The 15,997-nt window shown below is 38.6% G+C and overlaps 1 protein-coding gene and 1 pseudogene across 11 annotated transcripts in view; one reads left to right on the forward strand and one right to left on the reverse strand.

Annotated features, from left to right (window-relative positions):
- CTNNA2 (catenin alpha 2) overlaps positions 1–15,997 on the forward strand; it is a 1,463,404-nt gene that overhangs the window by 436,208 nt on the left and 1,011,199 nt on the right. For 2 of the 11 annotated variants that reach the window (XM_011532556.3, XM_017003403.3), the window contains exon 2: positions 12,114–12,256. The exons of 8 other annotated variants lie outside the window; for them this stretch is intronic. The gene's annotated coding sequence lies outside the window, so the exon portion shown is untranslated. Of the gene's footprint in view, positions 1–12,113; positions 12,257–12,975; positions 13,116–15,997 lie in introns of those variants that run through there. One more of the 11 variants, XM_024452715.2, reaches the window with a different exon arrangement.
- RNU6-561P (RNA, U6 small nuclear 561, pseudogene) lies at positions 15,278–15,379 on the reverse strand (annotated as a pseudogene).

Consider the following 15,997-nt stretch of genomic DNA (forward strand, 5'->3'; position numbering starts at 1 on the left):
AATATGTGATTGAATAAATAAATAAATGAGGGAAAGTAGACAAATTTCCCATGCAGAGTAATTTCAAATTATTTATGTAGCATAACTCTCCATTCCTTAAGCACATTGCGAGTACCTCTAAAAAGTACAGTATGGAATTGGGGAGTAAGCTTATAGTGGAGAAGCCTGCCTAACACTACCTCAGCCAGGTGATCAAATTCAACACCAGTAGTGATGAACCATGTGGACAGTTTATGTGATGATGAGAATGGCACTTTACATCCATGGTCTTCTTCTCAGAAACCCATAACCCCAGTATAACCATGAGAAAACTCTCACATGAGTAGCATTTTACAAAATACCTGATGAGTATTTCTCAAAACTGTCCAGGTCATCAAAAATAAAGTCTGAGAAACTGTAGCAGCCTTCGGAAGCCTGAGGAGACATGAAGACTAAATGTAATGTGTGTCTTGGACAAGATCCTGAACTAAAAAAGGACATTAGACAAAAACTGAGGAAATCTGAATAAAAGTACATACTTTAGTTAAAACAACAAACAAAAATGGCTCCTTAAGAATGGCAAAGTCTTTTTCAATCATTCCGATCTTCACCAAAGTTCAATTTGAATTTGAAGACTGGCTGTACCTCAGTCTTTAAGAAATGATGAGTGAACCAGTGTCCAGAATTCCTTCCATTTTCCTAAATTTCCTGATTTGTTTTGTTTATAAAATCCCCCTCTATATTTCTTCCTTTTACATGGTGCTGAAAATTTTCAATCCTTTTAAGCTGGATGCGTTAAACTCTGAAACAGTGAACAGATAAGGAACTTAACTTCTTGGAATAAAGTAGCAGTGCTTTAAAGAAAGAGGAAGAATTTATGTAATGATCCTTTAAATTGTGATGAAAATATGGTTGTTTGATAAATGATGTTTTTAACATTCCTCTTAGCAAAAAAACCATCCAAATGACAATGATAAGAAAACATTATTTTTCAATTGGTATATTAGGTTAGGGAAAATTAAATGCTTGATAACCCCACTTCACACCACTTCAGTTTATTTCAACACAGGCAGAGTTCAACACAGGCCTTTCTATTTGGATGTGGATAGTGGTTCATGAGGGTGACTCAGAGACCTAGACATTCTCTCTCTCATGGCTTAGCCATTCCCTCTGGCCTCGGACTTCTTCTTTCCCAGCCTTCTGGATGCAGGGAGCGGCAGGATGGAGTAAAGTTGAGAGGACTGTAATGGAGATTTTTAATGGCCGAGTCTGTAGGGGATATTTCACTCCTACTCCCATGTATATATAAAACTGAAATATAGTACTTTGAATAATAGAAGGAAACTAATTTTTAAGGAAGCATTATCCTTTCTTAGAATAGCATCTGTTTTTAACTGCTTACAAGTTCTATAACTCACCAACAGATGACTAAGAGCTAGGACTGACACTGGAGTTCAATAAACAACACAAAATTATCTTAATAGGTTTTTATTGTTTTGAAATAAATAAGCCTTTTAGGAGGTGATTGTAGGAGATAGATGTTCATGAATCATAGTCTATCAGCATTTTTTGTTGTTGTTACAGTGAAAAGCCTTTGGTTGTTTTAGAGATAATAATGGTATGTTAGCTGTCCTCTATAAAGAGGATGTTTTGAACCTTGTATATGTTATTTGCCATTTTCTGATGGTAGGAAGAAATTTGTGCTCATCCTTTTGGTGCAGTTGTGACTACTGCATTTTTCTGGGAGGTTTGCCAGAGTTATTCATAAAGACTTGAGCATATATACTTACAAAGGCAAGTAGCCCATGTACAATTTTAACCAGTCACTTTGGAGAGGAAACAGCCACACTAATCAGCTATTTGTGATCTAGACTCTTGTAAGAGTCTCTCCCACCTCACTCCATCTATTTCTTCCCTTCTAAGTAAATGGTAATGAGAATTCATTCTGAAATGACATGAGCCTGCAATTTGCATGAATTTGATGTAGAAAATCTTATCATCATCACATGGATCATAGTTCAATTTTATATATGTGCTTTCCGGATTCCAAATGGAGATTGGGAAAATTATTCAAATTGTTAGAATATAGACCTGTAATCTCAAGTAATTGATGTCCCCTATTTTAAGAAAGCATGCAACAAAATTCAGATGCATGTGTACAGTCTATAAATATTATTTTTAGGTGAGAAGTTGAATTTTTCATGATTGTAAATGGAAGAAAAAGAAAATCAGTTTAGGTCAAAATACATAAAATGGCTTGGATATTAATTTCACCATATTTTTACTTTGTTTCAAATATTATAGTAAAATTATCAGAGCTTTGCCACTGAACCAATCTGTCTCAGACTCATACTGAGTAGTAGCTCTGTAACTTGACTTAAATCATTTGCGAAAGAATTCTTGAGTCATATGGAAGACATCTCTCTCTCTCTCTCCCCCGTACAGTCTCTCTCTTTCCCCCATGCTCTCTTTCCCCTTGCCCACTTCTCTTTCCCTCCCTGTTTTCTATACTTTCCTTCTACTACTTTGCAGGGGAACTTCCCCATTTTCTTTTTCATAGCAAATATGAGAGAAACTCTGGGCAAATCCAGTTTAAAAAAAGAAAAGATTATCCCTGATTTCTGAGGGAGGATAGACAGTTTTAAAGAGAATCAAGAAAGAGATTGGGGATTCAGCTGGATATGAAAATAGCTATATTCATTAAGAAGAGCAATGCAAACAGCTGTAAATTTGGATAATAAGCAAGGAAAGATATTTGAATTTCATTAGGCTTTTTTTTTTGTCTACAGTTAGCAAATAGCTCACCTTCTAAATTTACTTCAGTTGTGATTCACCCACAATAAGCATGTAATTAAAATTGAAGAATGTTTACCAGGTGAGGGAAGTTGATGACAGAAGCCTGGAGAAAGGTTTGGAAAATATGAAAAGAAGGGCAATTCAGGAAGCACTCTGCAATTTGGAAGATATTTTAGGAAAGGTAATGCCGGGGAGGACTGCAATCAAATAGATGTTGCTGGTTCAAGACTGGCCTGTAGAAGCTCAGTCACCAGCATCTTTTTGGTGGTGGGAGTGAATTAATTAGTTAATTCAATCAATATTGATTGAAAATATATTGTGCTTTGACTTCTGCACCAGATTCTGTGAGAATAATTGAGGGGAATACCATTTCTGTAATCATAAAGCTTACACCCTAGAAAGGGAGATAGAAATAAAACATAATTAAGATCAGTTCTGGTGAGAAGTGTAGAGTACTGTGAGCAGAACTGTGTGGGTATGTGTGATGTAGGGGAAGGGATTTCTGCCCCAGTCTGGGCATGGGCTCAGCAATGTATCCCTTGTTCTTGTCTCCGGAGCCAGGTATGCAAATAATTATGGCAGAGCATACTTTTTGCTCTTAGTGGCAATTTGTGATACTGCGTTGAGAGCATAGTAGGAGTCTCCATTTTATTATAGATGTGTCATGGAAGGCACACAAAAGACATAGAAACCAAGTCCAGAAGGATTGGCATGAGTGTGCAAATTGATGTATTTGGGGAGATTTTTCCATAATTTTTTGAATAAAATCTCAAAAGATAGGAAAGAACTTTAAGTACTTCAGTGTTACTGGATCCTAATATTGGTGAAGGGATATTATAAAATGAGATACACAGGAAAAAAGAGGGACTGACCAAAAGGAACACATTTTATAATGTGATAGAGACTCAATTTTTGATGAATTAATGGTGATATGATAATTGCTATAATTGAGAACTGGAAGATTATGGCTCTTAATAGTTTAAAATGAAGTACTTACATGTCTCTACAAAAAGTATAAATGTTTGAGAGTGTAGAGTCATATTAGGGGGCTGGGAAATCAATATTCTGAAGTCCAGTGAACAATGGTAGAATATAATAGAAAAGGGCATCTGAAAAAATAGATACTATGAAACTTTTGTTTCAGTTTTATAGCTACATGTTTGTATGCCTCGCATGCAGATAAAACATGGAAATTGTATTTCTTACTGTGGGTTGGAGTTAAAGAAGCCTGAAAGTCGCTGTGGTGGAAGCATCCAGTTTCTCAGGTGTGTTTACATGCTGAGGAGAGGGGCCTGGAGAAGCAGCAAAAAGACCAGGAACTAGACAGACTCCAGGCTCTTGCTCCTGAGCCTAAAGAAAGAATCATCTGCATCAGGGCCCAGTGACAAAAAGAGTGAAAACACTGATACTTTGCCTTTGGTCCCAAGGTGACAACAATCATAAACCTGCCAGTTACCTCCTTGGTGTTGTGATATAGATAAATTGAGAATAATGTTTAGCTCAAGGTAGGTATTTGCCCTTTGTAAATAGTTGATGAGTTAAATGTCCAGCTACAGAAACTTCTCTTTGGCCCTCTGGCAGGGTTTGGAGATTTCTGGGCTTCTTGGAGCAGGTCTGTATTTTTTTCTGGTCCAGCCTGGGGGAATGAGGGAATGGGTGGTTGTAGGTGTGTGTTAGGAGGGACGTTTGACCATTTTCTACTTCATCTATTTTGATTAAATGGTGGGAAAACAAATCTCCTGTGGGAGCTACATCATCTTTTATGTCTGCTAACCAGAAGTTGAATCCTAGGAATCAGTTCCTCAAGCAGCATTTTAATAGAACACAGCAAGTGGCCTTCTGAGGTGGTCCTGATATCAACTGTGATACAATGTGCTCTGTTCTTAGATGCAGAAGGCACAACCAGGGAGCAGTGGTCCCAGAACAGAGGCTTCAGGCAAGGCTTTTCAGGATAAGGGATGTGTGATTTTGATGTTGAACCCTAATTACAGGTTAGCCAGGAAACAGGACCACTGGGTGGGGAAGTGAGAGGGGTATGTTTTTGAGAAAAATAACCAAGTTTGTACCATTAGCCTGAAATTTCACCGTTCCGTTCACCAAACTCTGATAGTAAAGCCTTTCCAAACTTCTTGAACTTGCTCTGTGCAAATTTAACCAATCCTGTGCATATGTAGTTCTTTTTCTCAAAAACACACTAGGAATGGCAAGATGGTTAGAGTGTGTGTGTGTGCATGTATGTGTATGTGCGTGTGTGTGTGTATGTGTGTGTGTGTGTGTGTGTGTGTGTGTGTGTGTGTCGAGTCCAGAAGACATGGGAAAGGTGTGGGAAATGAATATGAATCTGGAAAGCTAAACAGGGCTGGCTAAACAGCCTTGTGTGAGAGGAGGAATTGCTGAAGGGTTTTAGGTAGCGAGACAACATGCGTTATATTTTAGAATGGTTGCTGTGGAGCTGGTGTGGTGGGTTATCTTGGAGGGGTCTGAGATGAGGGCAGGGAGATTGGAACATAGAAACTAATAAAATAAACAATTTTCCCGTAATGCTTATGGAAATATTATAGCAATAAAATTTAAAATATTTAATAATTTTTGCTGAGGTCCTGAGCATCGATTGTGACTCTGATAAAGAAGTATAATTAGATTCAGGTTTCTAAGATTGCCTGTCCCTAGGTCTCATTTCCTAAATGACTGCTTCTCTTCAAGACAGCTTCTGAAGCCAAAAGCTTTATGGGCGACAGCTCTGGGAATGCGTTTTAGCGTTATCATCTTGTGAGATCACCACCCAAACATGAAGGCAAGTGCCACAGACTTGCCTCTAAAGATGTAGATGGTTTTGCCATCAAATAGAGAATGTGTTGTGTCAAAGAACCAGGTTTCTTCCAACTCTAAAAGCCTATGCTTCTTCAGTTATTTCTATTTTGCTATAAACCATAAAACAAGTTACAGTACGAATCCAGGGAGTGAAGAAGCTCCCAGAGCTGTTTGAAATGTGCCATGGAGGGGTTGGCATCCATGTTCTCAGAGCTACTTTAAGGGAAGTTTGTGGGTTGATTGTCATCCTGTAAATACCCAGCAGAGTGCTGCCTGCTGCCTCCCCCTCATAGCAGATTTCCTGTCCTGCGTGACAGATCCGGTAGAACGCATAAAGTGCAACTTCACTATTTCAGGCCCCATTATACCATAACTGAAAATACAACACAAATTCAATTCTGTCTTTATAAACATATGGTCTATCTCCCGTGTAATATCATGGTACATCTCTATTAAATCTTGCTTTCTGTTGTTGATATTAAAATGGAATTCTACTATAGTGTACTTTTACAGTTGATCTTTTGTGCTTCAAATGATTTAGAAATCTTTTGCATAAGTAAATCCTGGTTCCAAAATATTCAATTGATGATTTATTCTTGGAGCCTATTTTTAATTTATTTAGTGTATGACTACACTTTATGAAAGGGTTAACATTATTTGTTCAAGGTTTTTGATATTTGATGCCTTAAAAGTATACTTTTCAAAACAGACATTTTATTTAAGAAGGGAAATATACTGTTCTTTGAATAGCCTTGACACTGTGCCAGCTCATAAGTGTTGTAATGTGGAATGATGAATTCTTTGCATATATATTCTTTGAATATATATTTTTATAGTGTACACATAAGTATAGATAGTCCATTTATTTTAAAAAGCATGTTCATGATTTTAAGTCATTCTTGAGAAAGTGTTGTGGAAATTAGTTGGTATTTTGACCTAGGTTTTTCCTATTCCAGAAACGTGTTTTTTAAACACTCACATTAAAAAATTGGTGAGGTTGGCCAGGCATGGTGGCTCACGCCTGTAATCTCAGCACTTTGGGAGACCGAGGTGGGCAGATCACTTGAGGTCAGTAGTTTCAGACCATCCTGGCCAATATGATGAAACTCCATCTCTACTAAAAATACGAAAAATTAGCCAGGTGTGGTGGCGGGCACCTGTAATCCTAGCTGCTCAGGAGGCTTAGGCAGGAGAATCGCCTGAACCTGGGAGGTGGAGGTTGCAGTGAACCGAGGTAGAGCCACTGCACTCCAGCCTGGGCAACAGAATGAGACTGTCAAAAAAAAAAAAAAATTGTTGAATTTGCTTCAATATCCGGTTGTCAACTGTAGAACAACGAAATTTTTTCATTATAAAAATCTTACAGGATAGGTAAGTATTTGTGCTTTTAAAGAATTAATAACATTTAAATGTGCAGTCCTAACTGAATTATTTTTTGCTCCATAGAAGCAGTTCAGATGATTCCTGCTGATTTCTAATTTCAACCATAAATATCACTTAATTTGTTGTTAAAGTATTTTTCCTTAATGGAATTTTTCTCCTATAGCTTTAAGACAGCCTCTGACTTGCAATTTCTTTATTAATTTTATTTTCTTAAGGTCACATTATTCCTGGCATTTTAGACATTTTTCACGATCTGTGACTCTTGTCTCATGGGCAGAAGCTTTGTCCTCTTTCCTTTTTCTTCACCACTCTTTGCAGCCCTGACCCTTTAGTTAATTTTTCAGAAACCTTAGCAACTCTGCCTTTGGAGTGGCACTGTACACTGTGGAGGACAAAATATAAATTGATGTAAGCTGATTAATGATTTAGCTCTACTGCTGAAAATTCCACATTTGTTTCCTGTTGTACCAAGAATAAAATCTATGTCTTTCCTAGGACTTTTGAGACCTCCTGTCTCCTTCCCCACTCTCCACTTCCGTCCCTTCCCCTTATTGCTTCCCCTATGCCAGCCATATTGGCCCTCGTGTGGTTTCCCAAATATTGTGAGAATCATTTTTCTCGAAGTTTTTATCAGCAAGATAAATTGCTGGGAGTTGAATTTCTAAGTTAAAAGATATGAAAATAAATGTTTTAATGGTTAATATAAAATTGCCTTTGAAAGGTACTGACCTATCTTCAAAGCACCTGTTTATAAAGAATATAAAGAAGAATAAAGAGTATCTGTTTCCCAAACCTGTAATGAAGCTCTTTCAGGCTTTTTGATCTTGGCCACATATTGGCCATCTTTTTTTAACATAAGTAGGACCTAGCTTTGAGTGGATTAATTATTTTAAAAATTCTGAGCAGTTAAACCTTTGCCATCGTGGTCCCAAACACTGCTCTCTAGAGGTGGTGCTGGTTCTGGTGATTAGTAGGCCTAGGATGTGGTTATGGGAATGTGTGGCTGAGATGGAGCAAAGGAAAGGTCAGACAGGTTGGGGGGTCAGATGTTCAGACACAAGGATGCTGAGATCATCAGGAATAACACCAGAAGTAGGTGGGGTAAGGAAGAGTGGGAGCCAGGTGCCACAGGCATTATGATCTCAGTGTCTCGATAGATGGGAGAGGGAGGAAAGGATGCTGAAGGGAAGCTCAGTGAGCAGCTGTCTGTATGGGTATATTAATGACTTTTTTTAATTTTCTGAATTTTGTGATATCTTGGCATCTTTGTGCCTTGCTGAACCTGGAGAGGCTGTCCCTCCAGAGCTAGCAGATTCCCAAATGTATCAAACAACTTGCCTGGGAGCACACTTTTCACTTGCAAACCAACAAATCCAAAGCCCATATCCTAGTCAAAGCAGCCAGCTCCTTTCTTTAACTCTCTTACACCCTAAGCCAATATTTCCCCTGCCCTGTATCATCCTAGGGCTAGGTATCAGACAACCAAGGATCACCTCTACAGCTCAGAGCATGCTGAAAGTATTCAGATTGTCCAGTCTTAACCTTGCTCACACTTAACGTACCCTGCTTTATTCATTCCTTCCTGCCGTACCACAATATAGACCCTGGGACCTGCTCTCCCCTTGCCACCTCCTTCACTCACCCAGGTGCTTCCCCAAGTGGCACTGTAAGGCATGGCATAGCATGCCCCCTCCTGTTGGGGACTGTGAGTCACAGATTTCCTAACTATGAGTAACAGAACTTCTTTTAATGGCACTGACGTCTTTGTGTTGTTACTCAGTCACCTCTATGAATTAAATTCCAAGAACATTTAAAACAGTGGGAGACCATCAGAGAATTGGGCAGGAAAATTAAATATTAATAGTCTATGATGTAGCTATATTTATACACAGAAACACACATTGACATTGAAATCTGATTTACGTAAAAGAGACCAAAAAAATGGGTTATTTAAAACAGTATGTACACTGGTCCCAATTATAAAGAAAAACTTTCAGTATACATAATGTAAGACACAGAAACAAATAGTCCAGCATAAAATACCCAAAGTGCTAAAAGAAGAATTTGGGATAACTTTGTTTATTTGTATTTAAAAATTATCTTCCAAGTATTGTGAATTATTTTGTGTAATTCCAAGTCTTGCTGTAACGTGGTGTCATTTATGTATCTTTTGCTCCTTTGGACATTAGAACCTTGATTGCGATGGTGACGTAGGAGCCATCAATTCCAGACACACACATTAAACAATGCTATATGGGTGGGCCTACAAATTATTTCTACAACCAACACAGACGTTTTTTGGAAATGGCTGAGTTTGTGCTCTAAACTGAGAATAATGTACATTTTATTGTATGCATACATAGATAAGGTATGAAAAGTCTATAGTATATTTAGATAACAATTTCCACTTCTTCACTGAAAGCTGGTTGAAACCCTTCGTTGTGAAGTCTATCTTCCTGAGTTCTTTTCTCATTGATCACAGGATCCTGTTTTATGTGCCCCCTGGCAGATTTTTTTTTTTCTGTTGCATTTATTTTATCAGGTCCTAGAGTTTCTCAAGTATATTTGCTCAGCATTTCCTCTAAGCACAGTCATTGTAGAGGCTTTCCTTTCCTCTGTGTGCTGTGCTCATAATGTTGAACGCCTTATGTGGTAACTCTTGATTTTCCTTTTATCTGTCTGTTGAATCAAATAGTTGTCTACTTGGGTGTGTAGTCCTGTATGTAATCTCTCTGCCAGAGATTTGCTCTGTAGAATCAGTGCTCTCTGTATACCCAACTGAGGAATATTTTACACTCATTTCGTATGTGAGGATCATTCATACTTGGGGCCCACGCTGAAAGAACTTTGACACTGCCCAGTGTCAACAAACCACTACGCGTCTCCCAGATAGCAGTACCTTAGTATTTATTGTTTGCTGAATAGCCAGGGGGTTGTTACATACTCATTGTCATATGTATATGTAACATACACATTTTAGACGGAGGAGCTGGGGGCATGTCTTTCTTGAATGTTTAGGAGAATTTTAGGTGGTTTTGTTCTACACATGTACAAGAAATGCTAACTCTCAGTATACAAAAAAGGATTGAATAAACTGGAATAATATTTGCAACACGAAGTTTAGAGCACCCAGTGCCTTCCTCTTATCACCATGTGTACTTTCTAAAGCAGAAAAAAAGTACGTAGTTAAAATCTGAAAAGCTGAAGTGCCATTTGATTATTTTCTAAAGGACCAAACCACTTGCTCCTTCACCCCACTGCCTTACTGAAGCATGCCTCACCCTAGCTTTTGTGGTTATTAGTATTGTAAGCTCTGGATAAAAATAACAGTTCTAGGTGAATTATGACTTTTTGGACTTATGGTTTATTCCTCTGAGGATATATTTGTTTTATATTCCTTAAATTGTTCTATAAAGGCAATTCACATATTTTAAAATCCCTGTAATTTTCATATATTTTAGCAGACTGTGTGTTTAAGGGTATATATTTCTTGATTGTGAAACAGTCGCAGTGGTTTTAGATGTGTATCTTTTGTCTTTCTTTCAAATCCAAATTCCGTAGTGAGGCTAATTTAGTTCATTCCAATAAAATATTTTAAGGTCTTTTTATTAAAGCAGAAATTAAAATAATTATCATTATTTATAAATACTGCTTAACATAAAAAGAACTCCAAAGAAATTATAACCACTTTGTAAAATTGAAAGTAAAAAGCACTTAAAATTCATGAGTATAAAATAAAATATTCCTCGATAAAAATTGTGTGCATAGACAACTTGTATTTTAGAACAGAACTTGGAATATTCAGTTTGTCTAAATAAACTCCTAACCAGAAAATTTTAATGAAAAAAAATCCTCTAAAGTAACAATAAATATATTTCTTCTGTTTATCGACAAATAGCTAATGAGGATCAATAATGTTTTTATAGTGCGATGCTTCTAGATTGCCATTTACCTATGCTAATAAATCTACCAGACCTACAGTTTCCATGGTAGTAGGTATAATGTAAAAAACAATTCACGTGGCCCAAGGCCCAAGTTATGTTATGGGTTATTATATTGATGGTGAGTAGTATTTCTCAGTAGGATCACTGTTGGTATTTTGAGTGAGAATATCCGTTGTTATGTGGGACTTTAACATTGCACTCCATTAAACAATGCTGGCCTTTTAATTACTTCACAATGATTGGGGCATCCAAAATGGCCCCTGGAAAATATTATGTGAGTAATACAGCCCCTACCTGAAATCCACTGATACAGAATAGGAACCAGCACAATTTTTCTGTAGAGGTGGATAATAAATATTTCATATGTGTGGGCCATACAGTCTCTGTCTCAATTACTCAACTCGGCTATTGTGGTGAAAGAGCAACTAGAGTATAGATGGCATGAAAAAGAGTAGCTGTGTTCCAATACAGACTATATTTACAAAAGCAAGTGCTGGGCAGATTTTCACTGGGGGGCTGTAGTTTGCCAGCCCCTTCAAAAGTACCACAAGTCCATCAGTCTGAACACAAAGAATGCTATTTGAAAAACAATCAGTCGTATTATGTTAGTTAGGAGGGTTTGGGGCTGCAAATAATATGAAATCATATTTCCTGTTTCTAAAGATAGGGTTGTTTCAGTCTTGATTAATTTAATGTATGATTATCATAAGAGACATAAGCGCTTTCCATCCTTCTACTCTGTTATTCTCAGTTGTTATTATCTCCCCTCATAGTCACAGATAGATGCAACAGTGTCATGCCTAGTTACAACAGTGCACAGGGGAGAAGGACATGTCCATATAGTCCAGGAAAACCTTTCCCAGAAGTCCCCAGCTGAGTTGCTATCACATCTTGTTTGGCTGCATCTCCAAACTTGAGTTAAAAAATAGAAAAAGGAAAATATCCCACATATTTTACATAGGATAATTATGATTCTCCTCCTTAGCCTGGAGAGACAGATTCAGCCTTAACCCATACCTGTAGATGACCAATATTTGAATGAGCTGTGATTACACGGGTAAGAAAGAGCAGGGGCCTTTGAGAGGTGAGTGAAGAAAGATGTCTGTGAGATGCATTGTTTTCCATGTTAACTAAATTACACTCAAATGTAATTCTGTCTTAGACGGTATTTGAGTCCATTTGTTTCCCTCTGTTTCCCAGCTAGTCAAAGGAAGCGTTTCATTCCACCTATCTTTGGTCAGAGGAGAGGGAGGAGTGTAGACCAGCATTCTACCCACTGACGACAGGTCATCTGTCTCTATTATTGAAGAACCATTGCAGAGCCTATGCTCACCTTCTGCGAGGTCAGTAAAACCAGTATATGGAAGAGTGTTTGGACTTGCTTAACAAACATCACTCAGCAGTCCTTAAGGAACCTCTCAAATAAGCCCTAGCTAATCATAAATAGTTAGTATAGAATTTGATTTATAAGAGTTGAAAATAATTTGCTGAAAAGCATTTTCACTGAAATGATGTAATCATTTTAGTGCTAAAGGGAATACAGAAGACCAATGGATTCTTTTAAGCTCATAAAGTTGCTGCCCTACAATTTCAGATGAAGCAGGTGATTTATCAAGAGAATAATTTTGGTGGCTGAGAGGTACAGATATAACTAGAAGCTGGTTTTCCCACTTTGTTGTGCTGTGTTCCCTGAATTACATCATGGTATTCCTGCAGCAAAATGGCTGCAAGAGACCTTATGCTTATCAGTAGGGATGGCTCTGACTCAAGTTCTGATTTTTTTTCCTGGAGCTATTCCTGAATGTTGAGCTCTTTAAGCTGTCAGTACTGGGGTTGAACAAATACCTTTAGATGCAACTCTATTTATTGTAGTGACTTTTGGAGAATGATCCTGTACTATTTTGTGGATAGGTTTGTTCAGGAGACCTTGTTTTGCATCTCCCTCATGTAATTGGTTCAATTTCGAAGGGGCTGCTCCTTTAACGCCAATCATTTACTTATGTGTCTATTCAAACATATCGAATTCACTGTTCCATCCTCAAGGTTCTAAGTATTCTAGTGTGAAAGAGAATGAGCCGAACAATTAAAGTAGAGTGAGATTTATGGCACAGTCGAGGGAAGCATTATGTCCTCTTAAGATCGAGGGTGACACTGAACAGGTCAAGAAGTGATGCCTGAGTTGAGTCTCAAAACATAACCAAAGTAAGTCAAGTAAGGAAAACAGGGATGAAGCTGGCCTATGGAAGGAATGACACAAGAAAAGGCTTAGAAGGAATGACACAAGAAAAGTCTTAGAGGAATGGGAGAATATGGGATGTCTGGAGAACAGCTAGCAGTTCACTAGGTCTAGAGTTCACAAAGACTTAAGATGCACAATTGGCAAATACTGAGTAATGGGACTGTGCTGGGGGAGAGTTAATATATTTAGAACTTTATTCTTAGGCAGTGGGAGTCATCAGAGGCTATTCGATGGGACAGTGACATGATGTCATTCATATTTGCGAAAACCATTATGGCTGTGGGATAAAGAAGGGATCAGAGGGGGTAAGATTGAAGGCAACATGACCAGCCAAGAGGGTCTTTCAATAATCTAATAAAGAAATGCCAAGAGCCTTGATTAAGGCAGCGGTGGTGGAGAGAGAAAGAAGAGATGGTTGTCAATCAGGTGCTGATAGAATTTATTAGACTTGAACTTTTTATTGTAGGAGGTAAGAGAAAGGAAAGGAATTCGAGACCATCCCGGCTAACACGGTGAAACCCCGTCTCTACTAAAAAATACAAAAAATTAGCCGGGCGCGGTGGTGGGCGCCTGTAGTCCCAGCTACTCGGGAGGCTGAGGCAGGAGAATGGCGTGAACCCGGGAGGTGGAGCTTGCAGTGAGCCGAGATCGTGCCACTGCACTCCAGCCTGGGTGGCAGAGCTAGCAGAGCTGGACTCCGTCACAGAAAAAAGAAAAAAAAAAGTGACTACTGCATTTCTGACAGGGCTTGATACATGATAGTTCTTCTTCTTCTTTTTTTTTTGAGATGGAGTTTCACTCTTGTCGCCCAGACTGGAGTGTAGTGGTGTGATCTCGGCTCATTGCAACCTCTGCCTCCCAGGCTCAAGCAATTTTCCTGCCTCACCCTCCCAAGTAGCTGGGATTACAGGCGCCCGCCACCACTCCCGGGTAATTTTTGTATTTTTAGTAGAGACGGGGTTTCAACATGTTGGCCAAACTGGTCTCTAACTACTGACCTCAGGTGATCTGCCTGCCTCGGCCTCCCTAAGTGCTGGGATTACAGGCATGAGCCACCGTGCCCGGCCAATACATAATAGTTCTATTCATTGACATATGACCATAGGAGTTGGACCAATGTTGTGGAAAGATGAGTTCACTTTTAAGCCTGTTCATTTTGAAGTGCTTGGAAACCTAGTAACTCGTTGTATATAGGAGGCTGGAAACCAGGAAGGAGCGCTGAACTAAAGAAATAGATGTGGGGGGCCGGGTGCGGTGGCTCACGCCTGTCATCCCAGCACTTTGGGAGGCTGAGGCAGGCGGATCACGAGGTCAGGAGATCTAGACCATCCTGGCTAACACGGTGAAACCCCATCTCTACTAAAAATACAAAAAAAAAAAAAAATTAGCCGGGCGTGGTGGCGGGCACCTGTAGTCCCAGCTACTCAGGAGGCTGAGGCAGGAGAATGGCGTGGACCCGGGAGATGGAGCTTGCAGTGAGCCGAGATCGCGCCACTGCACTCCAGCCTGGGCAACAGAGTGAGACTCTGTCTCAAAAAAAAAAAAAAAAAAAAAAAAAAAAAAGGAAGAAAAAGAAAAGAAATAGATGTGGGAGTTTTCAGCATAAAGTAAGACACTGACATGAATGAGACCACACGGGCACTAGAGCAGACAGAGATGAGACACAGTGATGGAGTCCAAAGCAGAACCATGAAGGGCATGGGTCTAGAAGAAGAGGGTACAAAGACGACTAAGAATAAGATGTTGAGAGGGTACAAGAAGACCAGGAGAGTATAGTATTCTATTCTTGAAACAAAAGAAACAACAACATTGCCAAATATTTCTGTGTGATGAAATAAGATTTTTAAAGAGGACCCTGGGTATGTTGAAATGATTTACTTATTGATTTTTATTTAGATAAGGAATGTGTGATCATTATGTAACTAGAATATATATAAATGTATAAGGTGAAAAATATATATAATTTTGAATAATTTTGAATAATTTAAGAATCACCCTAAATCCCACCACCCAGCATAACTACTGTTAAAATTTTGATGCATATCTTTCCAGACTTTTTCTATATGCAAATATATTCTCTATATCCAGATATATGTCTATATATAACAAAATGAGTTCATACTATAAAAATATTGGATGCTGCATAAATTTGCTTGTCATTCTTCCCCGAGACCATGATAATCTTCTCCACATCTTTCTAATTTTAGTATATAAGCTGGGAAATCACATGATGTCCATTGAATTAAGTAACTAGAAGATCATTTGTAATTTTGCAAGGCTAATTTCAGTGGAATGGTGAGGGCAGAAGCCAGATTGTTGTGGGATGGGGAATGAGTAGGTAGTGAGGAAGTGGAACAGGCATTATAGACTACCTTTTCAAGAAGCTAGGCTGTGAAGGAGAAGGGAAGTATAGAATGTCAAGTGAGGAGTAGGATGGTGAAGGATATATATATTTTTTATTTTGTATTTTACTTTTTTAATTGGACAATACTTTCCACTGCCTGGAAAGAGCCAGAAAAGGGGTGAAATTGAGGATACAGAAGAGAGAGTACAGTTGATGGAGTGAGGCCTCAGTCAGGAGGCAGGAAGGGATGGGATGCAGGAAAGAAGAACCAAGCCCCATCTTCTAATAAGGCAATTGGGAAGGAGTTAAGGGTAGAAACAGATAGTTTCATACATTTGTAGATGTGTCACCTGAGGTGATTCTGGTCACCTTAGAATGATTATGGCTGATGCCCACATGTATTGAGCTATTTGATGGTTTTTTGAACTTTCAGGAAACAAAGACCTTCCATATTGGATTAGATCCATTATCTGTTCACTTTTATCTTCAGAGTGGTATCGA

Source organism: Homo sapiens, chromosome 2 (assembly GCF_000001405.40).
Source record: "Homo sapiens chromosome 2, GRCh38.p14 Primary Assembly".
In the NCBI taxonomy this organism is placed as follows: Eukaryota; Metazoa; Chordata; class Mammalia; order Primates; family Hominidae; genus Homo; species Homo sapiens.